Source organism: Homo sapiens, chromosome 13 (assembly GCF_000001405.40).
Source record: "Homo sapiens chromosome 13, GRCh38.p14 Primary Assembly".
Lineage (NCBI taxonomy): Eukaryota > Metazoa > Chordata > Mammalia > Primates > Hominidae > Homo > Homo sapiens.
This window is the reverse complement of record NC_000013.11, coordinates 112820153-112833396: the sequence shown is the minus strand read 5'-3', so window position 1 is coordinate 112833396 and position 13244 is coordinate 112820153. Positions and strand designations below refer to the sequence as shown.

Below are 13244 nucleotides of genomic sequence, written 5' to 3'. Positions count from 1 at the left end.
GCTGGGCCTCTGGGCTTCAGTTTTCTGAGATGCAGGAGGGAGATTTGTGTTAAAAGAATGATTGTTTCCGTATTTTGAAGCCTGTGGTTATTTGGAATGACCTCTAACTTACTGCAGACCTCAGGAGGAAAAGCCACCCACGCAAAGTCAGAGATGAAGACTCACGCGCCGGGGACCAGACGCTGCTTATCACGGTGGGAGGGGCTCATACAGGGACGGGGGTCCAGAGAAGCTGGGTGCAAAGGCAGCACAGCTCAGTGTGGAGGGCACAGGGTGGGGCTGAGGACGCCTCTAGGTGCAAATCCCTGACTGGGGCTGGGGAGGGGCTGAGTCACATCAGGAAACCCAGGCAGACCCTTGGCCCGCGACGTACCTCTGGACACCTTCGACCAGCGCCACCTCGTCGGGCGAGGATGAGATGTACACACAGGATTTCCCCCCGTCCGGCGATTTCCTGGGGCCGTCTACGCTGTCATCGTCTTTCACCTGGACGGTGTGGCAGAGACAGAGGGCCCGGAAAAACAGCTCCTCGCGCTCCTATAAAAAAGCAGTTCCCAGAACCCCCAAATCACGGTGCGTCCACTGAAGATAGAGGGAAACAGGCGCAGAGAGATAACAAGAAGCGGGGTGGGGGGGGTCCCCGCGGCCACGAAGGCAGCTTGTGGGCGGTGAGGGGTTATACAGTGGGATGGAATTACAGCTTTCCATCGTTCTCAAGCACTCTGTTTTGTAATTGAGACTGACGGGTGAGGAAGGCTAAACGGGCGTGCGTTCAGCACCGACACTTCTAGAAACCACAGAGGCTTCACGTGCGCTCAGAAATGGCAAGTGACCGCTAGCGTCCAGGAAGGGAGACTGAGTCACACGGTGCCACGAACACAGACATTCACAAACACCCTGGACCCTGGCTGTGCCTCTGCCCTGGTGCCTGTGCGATGGGGACGTTCTCCTAACCAAAGCGTGTGTTAGACTAGGCGTGACCTGTGGCGCTCCTGCTGTTGACTCACATTGTCACATTCACCCTGAAACCCCTTAAGAAGTTGGAGCTATTATCCTGCGCCTGCAGCTGCAGAATCAGCGTTTAGGAAGGTGAAGTGATGTGCTCAGGGCCACAGCCGGCTGGGACCTGATCCCCGAGGCTGCCCTGTGTGCGGGGAAATTCAGGAACAGCATCAGCCTGGGACTTCAGCCCTGCCCAGAGATGCTGAGATCTGGAGCCACGGCATTTGGGGCGTGTGTGAGAGTGCATGTGTGTGTCTGCGTGTGAGCATGTGTCTGTGCGTGCACACGGTAACTGGGCGTGTGTGAGAGTACGTGTGTGTCTGCATGTGAGCATGTGTGCACACAGTGTCAGGGAGTGTGTGAGAGTGTGTCTGCATGTGAGCGTGTGTGCATGTGTGTCTGTGTGTGCACACGGTGTCTGGGCATGTGTGAGTGTGTGTGTCTGCATGTGTGCATGTGTGTCTGTGTGTGCACACAGTGTCTGGGCATGTGTGAGTGCGTGTGTCTGCATGTGTGTGTGTGCACACAGTATCTGGGCGTGTGTGAGTGCATGTGTTTGCATGTGAGCGTGTGTGCATGTGTGTCCGTGTGCACATGGTGTCTGGGTGCATGCATGTGTGTTTGCCCTGCTTCTATGGTTTTCATAACCAATTCTAACACGGGTATCACTGAGCAGATGTGTCCTAACGGGACACCACACACATCGCACCTTCTGACCATCCCTCCCACTGAAGTCCGTAGAGAGGGCCTGGATTTTCCTGGACACTCGAGTGAAAAGGGGTGGACTCAGCATGCACAGCCGCCCACTCACTCACACACTTGGACGGCGTGGGGGCTGCCACCTACCCTCCCGTTGACGCTGGGGGACGAGTCAATCATGTCGATTCCTGACGACTCTGGGAGGACCTGCCCGTTGCAGATGACGTGGGGCACGTAGACATGGCCTTCGATGCAGCACTCCTTGAACTCCATGTTGTTTTCCGTGAGGGTGCCGGTCTTGTCTGTGAAGATGTACTCCACCTGCGGGCAGGGCACAGCAAGTCAGGGCGCTCTGAGGGAGGCCCGCACGTCCCCGACTCAGACACACAGCAGCCGTGTTTCCTCCCCAGCTCCCACTGTGACTTGAATAGGCGGTGGATTTCTAAAGGCTTTCCCCCAGACAGACCCCCTCACTGGGCTGAGCCATGCTCCTGCCTCATCCTCCTTCCCAGCGTCCAACAGGACCCTGCAGTCCTGGCAGGTGCAATTCAGGAGGATGGGTGGGGAGGCCTCGGGATACCTTCTCTGGGTTGGGAGCAAAACAGAGTATGGTCTCATAGTCCCATTCCCCGGGACAGAGACATGGGTGGGGCCAGGGCTCCATTTGTTTGGGAAGACAGAGTGTAAGTGGGTTGTCCCGAATCTTAACAACAACAATAAAAAACCAAGGCTACAGAGAGGACGAACTTACTCTATACAGTCTTGGAGGTCAAAACCTACAATACCATGTAAGGTTGAGAAGGTAAAATTCAAGCAAATAAGGACAAAACAAATCTCAGAGAAAACTGTGATATGTGTTAAAGATACAACCCGTCTTAAACTCTGATTTTAGATAAGCTCATGGGTCACACGTTTATCGTGAATAACTGAAGGTAGGAGTTCTGGAACGCACGGCAGCATCTTGAGACTGAGCTTGGGCGCGTCCACAGGGACACTTCTTCCCAAGCATTTTGAATAAGGGATATTCAACCTGTGTACCCTTCTTATACAGGACTTTGAAGTAACTTAGAATAAACGCTTTTCAATCCCAAAAGCATTTTTATTTTTATTTATTTTTTTTGAGACGGAGTCTCACCCTGTCACCCAGACTGCAGTGCAGTGGTATGATCTCGGCTCACTGCAACCTCCGTCTCCCAGGTTCAAGCAATTCTCATGCCTCAGCCACCAGAGTAGCTGGGATTACAGGCACCTGCCACCACGTCTGGCTAATTTTTGTATTTTTAGTAGAGATGGGAGTTTCGCCATGTTGGCCAGGCTGGTCTTGAAATCCTGACCTCAGGCGATCCACCCACCTCAGCCTCCCAAAGTGTTGGGATTACAGGCATGAGCCACTGTGCCTGGCCCTAAAAGCATTTTTAAAAGGGTAAAATGGATAAGAATGAGATAACAAATGTTAAGAGGTTTGGTTTATCATCCTGTTTAGCTATAACTAAATAGGTGGCATATTTCTAGGAAACATGACCATGAAAGTGAACAATAAAAAAAATTAATTATAAAAGACCTTTACTGAGCACTCAGGGTGTGCCAGCCACTGGGCAGAGCCTCATTTAATCTTCAACTGTTATTAACACATCAACTGTGTTATTATCCCAGTTTTAAGAACGTGGAAACAAAAGCTTAAAACCTCTGGACACAAATCCAGTCAGTTCTGTTAGCTCGGGACGCAGAGATAAGATTGTTTGCTTTGTTACTATTAAGCAAGTTTATTAAAGTCTTTGATTTCTTTTTCAAATAGTTTCTTGTCTGGTATATAGAATCACTACTGATTTTGGGTGTTGATTTTGTATCCTGCAAATTTAGTGAATTTGTTGATTAGTTCTAAAAGCTTTTTGGTGGAGTCTTTAGGCTTTTCTATATATAAGATTGTGTCATCAGCAAACAATTTCACTTCTTCCTTTCCTATACGAATGCCTTTTCTTTTTCTTGCCTCACTGCTCTGGCTAGAGCTTCCAGTGCTATGCTAAATAGAAGGGGTGAATGTGTGCAGCCTTGTCTTCTTTCTGATCTCAGAGGAAAAGCTTTCACCTTTTCTCCATTGCCAGCTGTGGGTTTCTCATTTATGGCCTTTATTGTGTTGAGGTACATTCCTCTATACCTAAAATTTGTTGAGAGATGTTATGAAAGGATGCTGAATTTTGTCCAATGCCTTTTCTGCATCACAGATAATCATATGGTTTTGTCCTTCATTTTGCAGACGTAATGCACTACACTTACTGATTTGCACACATTGAGCCACCCTGGCATCCCACAGGTGGGGTATGATCCTTTTGTATGCTGCTGAATTGGTTTGCTAGTATTTTGTTGAGGATTTTTGCAACTTTGTTCATCAGGGGTCCTGGCCTGCAATTTTCTTTTCTGGTGGTGGGACAGTCAACCCTAAGCCCAGTGCTGGTCAATGCTGCCATCACCCTCAGCTCTAGGAACAAAAGATGGCCCTCACTACAACGCACGCCTGCCTGCTAACTTGGCCTGAAGCAAGATTTGTGTTCCAAGGCACTCGTGCTCGGGAGGCAGCACTGCATCGCAGAACGGGGCACTGCCTGCTCCTGACTCAGTTTCTCATTTGAGAAACGGCGCAATAGCACTGAGCACACAGGATACAGAGAAGGTGCATAAAGTGTGCACAGGACACAGAGAAGGTGCACGAAGTGCTTCTGGCACAGGATCTCCATGGCAGATGGTTGTTTCTGTTGTGGACACAGACGCTTGACTGGTGGGTGAATCTATTTCACATACAAAAGAAGTCGTGTTATCGTACTGCACAGCGACAGTGGGCACAGGCGTTTACCCACAGAGCTGCGGTCAGATGAACCTGCCTTTTGGGCTTGTCCACCCGTCTTGACCTCAGTGTGTCCCCCGTGAGCAACAGTACACACTTCTTTGTGTACGAGGAGGTCAGCCTCCAAGCTGGAGCCTGGTTTTGGTCAGGACAGAACAACAGAAATTAAATTCTGTTTTGCAGAACTCCAAGGAGATGGACTGAAGAGGGCAGAGAAGAAATCTGCCGTGCTCAATGCTGCTGGGCGCTTTCCCTTGCACTCAACACCGCTGGGCACTTTCCCCCGCACTCAACACTTCTTGGCGCTTTCCCCCCTACTCAACACTGCTGGGCGCTTTCCCCACACTCAACACCGCTGGGCACTTTCCTCCATACTCAACACTTCTGGGCGCTTTCCCACCTACTCAACACTGCTGGGCACTTTCCCCCCACTCAACACCGCTGGGCGCTTTCCCCCCTACTCAACACCACTGGGCACTTTCCCTCCTACTTAACACTGCTGGGTGCTTTCCCCCCACTCAACACTGCTGGGTGCTTTCCCCCCTACTCAACACTTCTGGGTACTTTCCCCCCTACTCAACACTGCTGGGTGCTTTCCTCCCACTCCATACTGCTAGGTGCTTTCCCCTGCACTCAACACTGCTGGGCGCTTTCCCCCGCACTCAATGCTGCTGGGCGCTTTCCCCCCACTCAACGCTGCTGGGCGCTTTCCCCCCTACTCAACGCTGCTGGGCGCTTCCCCCCACTCAACGCTGCTGGGCGCTTTCCCCCACACTCAACGCTGCTGGGCACTTTCCTTGTTACAGAAAAAAGTTCTTTCCCAAAGAATTTATCAGAAGCTCACAAAATGTACCATCTATTGTTGCAAAGGAGATAGAATATTCCTAGATAAAAATACCTGACTATTGAACAACTAAATTATAGTTTGCGCATTGCTGACTCAAACAATAAAGCACTGTGAGGAGTATGGGACATGCTGGAGGAACACATTCAAAAGTCAAACTCATCAAATGTGGAACATGATCCTTCCGTTTGTTGGCCTTCCTCACAGGAGGCAGAGAGAGGCCTCTGTATCTGCCAGAGTCTAAGTCTATTTACAGGCTGTCATCTGGGAGCGAGATGGAGATTTCAGCTACCTGTCTAAAGTGGCCTTGTTTGCTAAAATATCCTTCAAAATCGCTATTTCTTCCGAAAAATCCAATTACCGTTTACTGGTACCTGCTCCGGCAACCCTGCACTCTGCAACGTTAAGGCTGGGAAGGTAGGGAAGGTCACCGCTCTAGGCTGGGGAAACCCAGGGAATGGGTCTTTCCCTAGCTCCCTTCAAGCCAGCAGGTCTGGTGTGTGCCTCCCGGTGGTGCGGTGGCAGGGCGGTGGTCACACCAGACTCTGTGCTGTGCACCTTGTGTCCATTATCTCATTTAATCTGCAACCCAATCCTGTAAGGCCAGCATCTGTTATCATCTCCATTTCACAGACTGAGACACTCGAGGTGTGGCGGTGAAGCCCGAGCTCCCGCAGCCATCATGCAGCAGCAGGATCTGAATGGAGGCGTCTGAACTCTTTGCAATCCACCAAGTCACTGAAAATCTGGTTTGTTCATCTTTAAAGTGAAAATACCCAGCTCGCCATGAGACTTGAATATCAGGTGCAGAAGCAGAGTGCAAGGCTGGCAAAGCCACTTTTACCCACCAGCCTTGATTCACACCTGCACACAGAAAGAGTTCTGCCCAGGAAGCTCCAATGAGTTTCCAGGAGTCAGCAAGTGCAGGTAATTCTGCATCTGTTGTAAATGTAACAGCACGGCTGACTGTTTCATAAATAGGGTTCAAAACAACCCTGCTGCTGTCTTACGCCAGCTACAGGTACAGCCACGCTCGGATGACAGGCACAGGACCTGAGGAACGTGAAGCAGACTCACCCAGATGTTAATAAATCACAGCAGATGACTCAGGAGACACCAACCTGTCCCAGCTCTTCATTGAGGTCCGACGTGTTCACCAGAGGCCCCTCGCCAGTCTCCTCGTCAAACATGTCTTCGTCCCAGGTGATGAAGTAAGAGCCGAGGAACTTCTGCATCTCGACCGTGACGTACATGGACACAGGGATGATGTAGTTAAAGAGGACCATGAAGGCCAGGAAGTCCGTGAATGCCTTGAGGAACTGCAAGAGCAGAAGGTGCGGGTCAGCACCTCCACCAGGAGGGACAGCAGGCCTCCAACATGCTGCTCTAACACCTCAGGCTTAGGCATAAGTTATACGAGCGCTACTACTAAATACAAGATTTCAGAGTCCAAAGACAAGGACTATGGGCGGAAGGCAGCCACTGGGTCACCTGGTCTCTGAGCCAGGACCTGCCGGGTCCAGGGGCTGAGCTGTGGGGCTGTCCTGCCAGCAAGTGGAGATTAAATCACGAGTTAAGACAAGCATGTGCCGATGACAGGAGACACGCCAACCAGACACCAGCGGCAATTTTACTTCTGCATATTCATGGGATCTCTTTGTGTCTCTTATAACAAAACATACTTGGTAACAACCTACAGATGTAAAAACTAAGCCTGGTGAAATGACTTTTCAGTATACTTTTATCCTGATCTGTGGGGCCATGTTAGTTTTGTGGGAAGGACAGATGATGCAGAGATAGCCCCGCTCTGGACGGAGGGGACACAGGTCTGGGTTTGCACACGGCCCTGCTCCAGGCTCAGTGGATATGGGTCTGGGTTTGCACACGGCCCTGCTCTGGACAGTGGGGACACAGGTCTGGGTTTGCACACGGCCCTGCTATAGGCTCAGTGGATATGGGTCTGGGTTTGTTCATGGCCCTGCTCTAGGGTCAGTGGACACAGGTCTGGGTTTGCACACAGTCCTGCTCTAGGCTCAGTGGACACAGGTCTCGGTTTGCACATGGCCCTGCTCTGGACTGGGAGCAGACCCTTTTTTCCAAGTATTTACCACAAATATGTGCCATTTATCTCATAATCATTAACAAGCATTTTCTCAGCACTCTCTAAACAAAGGACACAGTGCAAGTATTTAAGGTATTGTCCTGATGATTTCACTGTGGGAACCTGTACCTTTCCAGATCCAAAGATGGCAGGAGCAGCTGGTGTCCACTGAGACTTTAAATTTCAGTGAATGCATCTATCACAGAGACTGAATCAATCAAGCTGCTTTTTGCCTACAGTAAATTCACCGTCATCTTTTTCTTGCACCACATTTTCGTAATAATGGCCCACAGGTCACCTCGGATCATACAAGGGCAGTGATTCTCCATACCAGATTCCTCTGCCTTTCCGACTCCGTTTTCTGATTATACCACGGCTCATCCCGAAAGGGCTCACTCTGCCACATGTATTTCAGCACAGTGTTTATCAGGGCTTTGCTGATCAGAATGCAGAGATACACAATGAGGAACGCATTCATCGATCTAAAACAAAAGGACAGAGGTGATCACTGGTCCCTGAGGAAATGAGCTCTGCACTTCCTTCTCACAGATATCAAGATGACACCTCGTGAAGAAACAGAATAGGAAGGGCACAGTGATGTGTTCGCCCTCAACGCACCACGGTGGGTCCTCTGCACTTGCGTCCATGCCATGGTCCCTGGCACGTACTTCTAGAGGTCAAAGGTAAGAACCAAGACGGGGTAAAGTGCCACAAGCAGGAGAGAGAGGGCTGCTCACAGCCACACTGCGGACCATGCTTCTGCACTGCCTGGACTTCCGTCATTGAAAAGTACATCCAGAAATCAATTTCTACCATTAAGCATCAACAAATTAGTTCAAAACTTAGTGACTACCCACCACTGTAGAGGAAGGAAGGAAAGGAGAGGAAGGAAGAGAGGGAGGGAGGAAAGGAGGGGGAGAAAAGTAAATAACTCTGAAAGGAAGTGTCCTCAGTACAGGAAAAGCACAGATCCTTAACTAAGGTCTTAGCAGATCTCAGGAAGAAGCCTTTCTTTTCCAGCACAAATTCAGCTACCATCCTGACATATTTATCATCAGGACTTTACTGTTTAATGAAAAGATGATTCTGTTCTCTCTGCTAACGCTTTCCTTTGTAAAACCATAGCAGAGAATACGTGGTTTTGACCAAATCCCAGAGTTAAAAGTAAGCCCATTTGGAGTTTTTCATGAAATGGTGAGAGGAGCTGTTGGATACTGAACTGATTTCAGAACCGGAACGTCAGGGCGTCCGTAAGAGGCAGCGCTGTGAACCTGGTATCAGGCGTTAGAAAGAGCAGGAAGGAGGGGTGTGGCCATCCACCTCACCACAAAATAAGAAAGACCATCTGAATGGTCAGCTCTGCAGTTACTAAGATGCTGTACAGTGGCAAAGGAACTGCCAATAAGGCCAAGAGGAAGCTACTTCCATTTCTACAGTGGGTAATGACACTTTTAAGTTGCAGGTTCTCACGCGCATCCAGCCTTACTTTTCCACGGCAGATCGCTTCTGAGATTTTGATTGATAATTTAATGCCATCTTGGTTTCCATTCCCGTGTAAATAGCCACACCTACAGAGAGGAAGAGCAAGGGTGATGACCAGGGCGCAAGTGTGTCTTGCCTTATGGTGAGTTACACACAGCTGCGGGGAAAATCAATTCTTGGGTAAAGCGAATCCTATTTTTAATTTCATAAGCTAGTGTCCATAGCCACATAACACTAGCACTTGATTCCTTAGGATAAAGACCCTTCTTCATGCATAGGAAGCAATCTATGCTTCATTTTTTAAGAGTTCATATCTTAATATACACTGGGCCCACCATGTCCACGAGTTCTTAATCTGCAGGTTCTACCAACTGGGGATGGAAAATATTTGAAAAAAATCCCCAATAAAAATAACAATACAATGATACAAAATACAGACGATAAAAACAGTACAGGGTATTTACATCGTGCTAGGTATCAGAAGTAATCTAAGATGATGTGAACTACAGGGGCAGACATGCGTAGGCTACATGCAAATAGGGCCTTGGGCATCCGTGGATTTTGGCATCTGCAGGCATCCTGGAACCAGTCCCCCAAGGACACTGAGGAACACCTGCACAGCATTTTCTGACAGTGGGGCACACTTGTATACTTCTAAAGGTTACCTCAATTAAAACAGACAATAACCCACAAGAAATGGGAGATCCTAGTCAAGAAACGCAGACATGAAAAACATTTCCTGCACAACTAAACTTCACAAATTCCTTCACGGATGCAATGTTCTGTTTCTGAATCCAAAACTAGAGGCCTTAATCCGTAAGCCGTATTCTCTGATGCTGCTGCTTCAGGATTGCACTTATTCACTGATCAAATCTCAGTGGGGCAGAACTTGCGCGGCCAGAAAGCCTCCAGCACCTCAAGGTGCCAAGAAACGCTCTCGGGTTCCGCTGCGGGTTTTAACTTTTGCTTCATGCATCCTTAATGTTAGGGGCAATGGTTAATAATTAATTAAATATTTACCAAAGATTTTCTCAGTGTTCTTCAGTGTAGCTCCTCTAAGCAGCAGGTTTTCCGATCCTAAGGGCCTGTAAAGATACGATGATCAGAAATGATGCGGACACGAAGGCAAGTGGGCAGGGCGGGGGGCAAGAGGCAGACGTGAAACCCACTTGTTTGCTCAGCAGATCTCATTTTCAGAGGAGATGGCATACACGGAGGTTTGCTTATATTCAGATGATTAAGTCAGCCCAGGTCCATGTGAACAGATGTGGGCTTATCTTTGGGGGACGAACACATGGCTCCAGGAGTAGCGGCAAGGGCCTCCCATTGGCGCATGCGGGACCTCAGGCCCCATCCAGACCCACTGAGCTGCGCCCGGCAGCCTCAGCAACACTCCCCGAGAGACCTCTAGAGCAGGGGTCCCTGAGGTGGCCCCACCAGTGCCGTCAGCAGCACCTGGAGCCAGTCAGGAACCATCACACTAGTCAGGAAGATCGTCCCAGGCCTACCGAGTCAGAACCTGAAACCCTGGGGTGGGGCCCAGCAGCCCTCTCCTAACAAGCCTCAGGTTGAGAACAGCTGCACTGGAAGGTCCCAGAATGTTCTGGAAAGGCTAAAGAGGGGTGGATGTGAAATAAAATAAAAGTCACTCAACTTTCAACTGTTTCCTTTTTTTTTTTTTTTTTTGCAACAGGGTCTCACTCTGTCGCCCAGGCTGGGGGCACGATCATAGCTCATTGCAGCCTTGACCTCCTGGGCTCAGGTGAACTTGAGCTTTGGCCTCCCAAAGTGCTGAGATTACAGTTGGGCATCCCCATGCCCAGCCTCAATTGTTTCTATTACATCCTCAGTGAGATTCAGGGAGTCCCATGAAACACAGTCTTATTCCTGGAGACAAAGGCTGATACTCTATCTGGCCATTAGAAACACTGGTAGCCACACTGCAAAGCTCCTCTGAATGGGGGGGACATGTAAATCTGGGACAATCCATGCATGGCTGCTTTGGGGGGAAAACAAGCAACAGCCAAAGAACTTAAAAATCTCACACATGGAAGAACAAGCCCCGTTCTGTGCACTGAAGCCACATAAGCAGCAGGCAGGGTCTCTGCCATCAGGGGCTTATATTCTTGATATAACAGGGTTCCCTGCTGATGGAAAAATAATCTCTTCTCATTTCCTAAGTAGTAAGGGAGAAATAAGCAGCAAGATTCAAATGTATAAATTTTGCTATTGATAACATTCAGAGGATTGCTTCAGAGGGTAAAGGGTCAAAAGTGTTTGCTGAAGTTTGCTTTTCATTTATCATTGTATTTACTGTCCTTCTATCATGGAAAATTAAGAACCTACTGAATATTATGAATGTAAAATGCATGCAGTATATTTGGTCGATAGACCTCAGAACTGCATCCGGCTGAAGACAGGCAGAGTGGGGCTGTCTACCCCAGGCTGCGGCTGAGGGCTCCACGCGCGTCCTCCCCGGCAATCACTAAAGATGGAGCTCCCAGGCTGCATATGGGTTGTCTGGCTGTGTTATAAGGACTGTCAGCTTCTGTTTGCAACACACTTATAATAATTCCTGCCATGTGTTTACGAAAACAAACAGCGTTTTTAAAAAGTGACTCAGGGAAGTCTAAAAATAATTTACTTGGAAAAGTACTTTGCTTCTAGTTAGGACAGAAGGAAGAAGAAACGTCACTCTGAATGGATTGAGAATTTGGGTGCGTAATTCTTAACTGTCCACATCACAAATTTACAAACATCTTCAATAATCTAAATATTAAAAGTCTATGGAATACCATAAATATTTAAAAGTGAAACTAGGCCAGGCGCGGTGGCTCATGCCTATAATCCCAATACTCTAGGAGGCCGAGGTGGGTGAATCACCTGAGGGCGTTTTGAGACTAGCTTGACCGACATGGCAAAACCCCATCTCTACTATAAATACAAAAATTAGCTGGGCATGGTGGCACACGCCTGTAATCCTAGCTACTCAGGAAGCTGAGGCAGGAGAATTGCTTGAACCCGGGAGGTGGAGGCTGCAGTGAGCTGAGATAGTGCCACTGCACTCCAGACTGGTGACAGAGCGAGACTCTGTCTCCAATAAAATAAAATAAAATATATAAAATAAAAGTGAAACCAGAGTTAGTATCAAAATGCAAAATACATTAGCAATTATCGTCCCAAGTTGTTCAGCAATAAACTTGGTCTAACTATAAAGATGAAAAGCCTGCAATGTTTACTATTTTGGATTCATCCCATAGGTAATATGAATAAGCCTAAGTCTGTTCAAACACAAATTAATTCTCACGGCACACAGAAATACAAGAGATTTCTCCAAAGTAAGGAGGAATTTACCTTTAGAACAGTATATACGTAGGCAAACCAAGGCAAGGTCACTATCAGTTCTCGAAAGCACCTCCTAGCCTGCTGATGGGTAATGATAACAAGCACATGCTAAGAAGTGCACAAATGGTTTTCTTAAAACAGTAGCTCCTGGAGACTTACAAGGAGCTAAGCATTTCAGGAACTATTCACTTTGCAGTAGTTTCCCAGTGAGTGTGTTTCTGTGTCTGGGAGATGTGTTGTTTAACACACAATGCTGTACCTACCCAGACATCAACAACTTGGAGAGTGCTTACAATGGAAGAAAAATCATTTCCCTAACAAGTGGAGTTTATGAAGAAGATGCAACTTTAAAATCCAGTGAAAGCCAATTCCCTAAACTGTGACATTCAAATATCTCGTCAGCAACAAATGCTAGATCTTGAAATAATGTCAGAGAAAATATCCCTAGGCCTGGGAGGTGGGTGCTGCTCAGAGCTGGGCTCAGCACAGGCTGGCTCTCAGCCGAGGCTGCCTCGGGGCCATAGATGAGGTGTCTGAGGGTCGCTGTTTCCTCATGGGTATGCGATGTGACTGCCGCTGGGTCCATGCTGGTGAATGGGAAGGCACAGCAGCCAACCGTGAGCTGCCCGGCCTTGCCCCGGCTACCGATTCCACCTTCTCAGGTAGGTGTGAGCCTCAGATAGGCCTTGAGCCAGTAATGCACCCCAGAATGATGGTGAGTGGATGAACAGATTCCCAAAAACGGCCTCCAAATTAGAAGTCTTTCAATTTCATATCTGAAGACAAATCAGTACCCGAATCATGAAAGGGCATTTCTCCCAGGGAAGCTGTACTCCGCCCTTCACTTTGAAACTGCTCCACGGGACCCTGACGCCTCCTGGCCTGTGAGACGACCCTCTCGGCAGAGTCTTGCGCGAAAACTTGTTTCACGA

The 13244-nt window shown here is 48.6% G+C and overlaps 1 protein-coding gene across 13 annotated transcripts in view; it reads right to left on the bottom strand.

The window, feature by feature from the left end:
• The window catches only part of ATP11A (ATPase phospholipid transporting 11A), a 197131-nt gene that overhangs the window by 53772 nt on the left and 130115 nt on the right, over positions 1-13244 (bottom strand). For all 13 annotated transcript variants that reach the window (NM_015205.3, XM_011537480.3, NM_001405663.1 and 10 more), the window contains exons 9-14: positions 9988-10052; positions 8972-9053; positions 7817-7967; positions 6506-6703; positions 1849-2022; positions 374-537 (exon numbers count right to left, since the gene is read on the bottom strand). In NM_015205.3, coding sequence (NP_056020.2) covers positions 374-537; positions 1849-2022; positions 6506-6703; positions 7817-7967; positions 8972-9053; positions 9988-10052 — 834 coding nt within the window. The remainder of the gene's footprint in view (positions 1-373; positions 538-1848; positions 2023-6505; positions 6704-7816; positions 7968-8971; positions 9054-9987; positions 10053-13244) is intronic.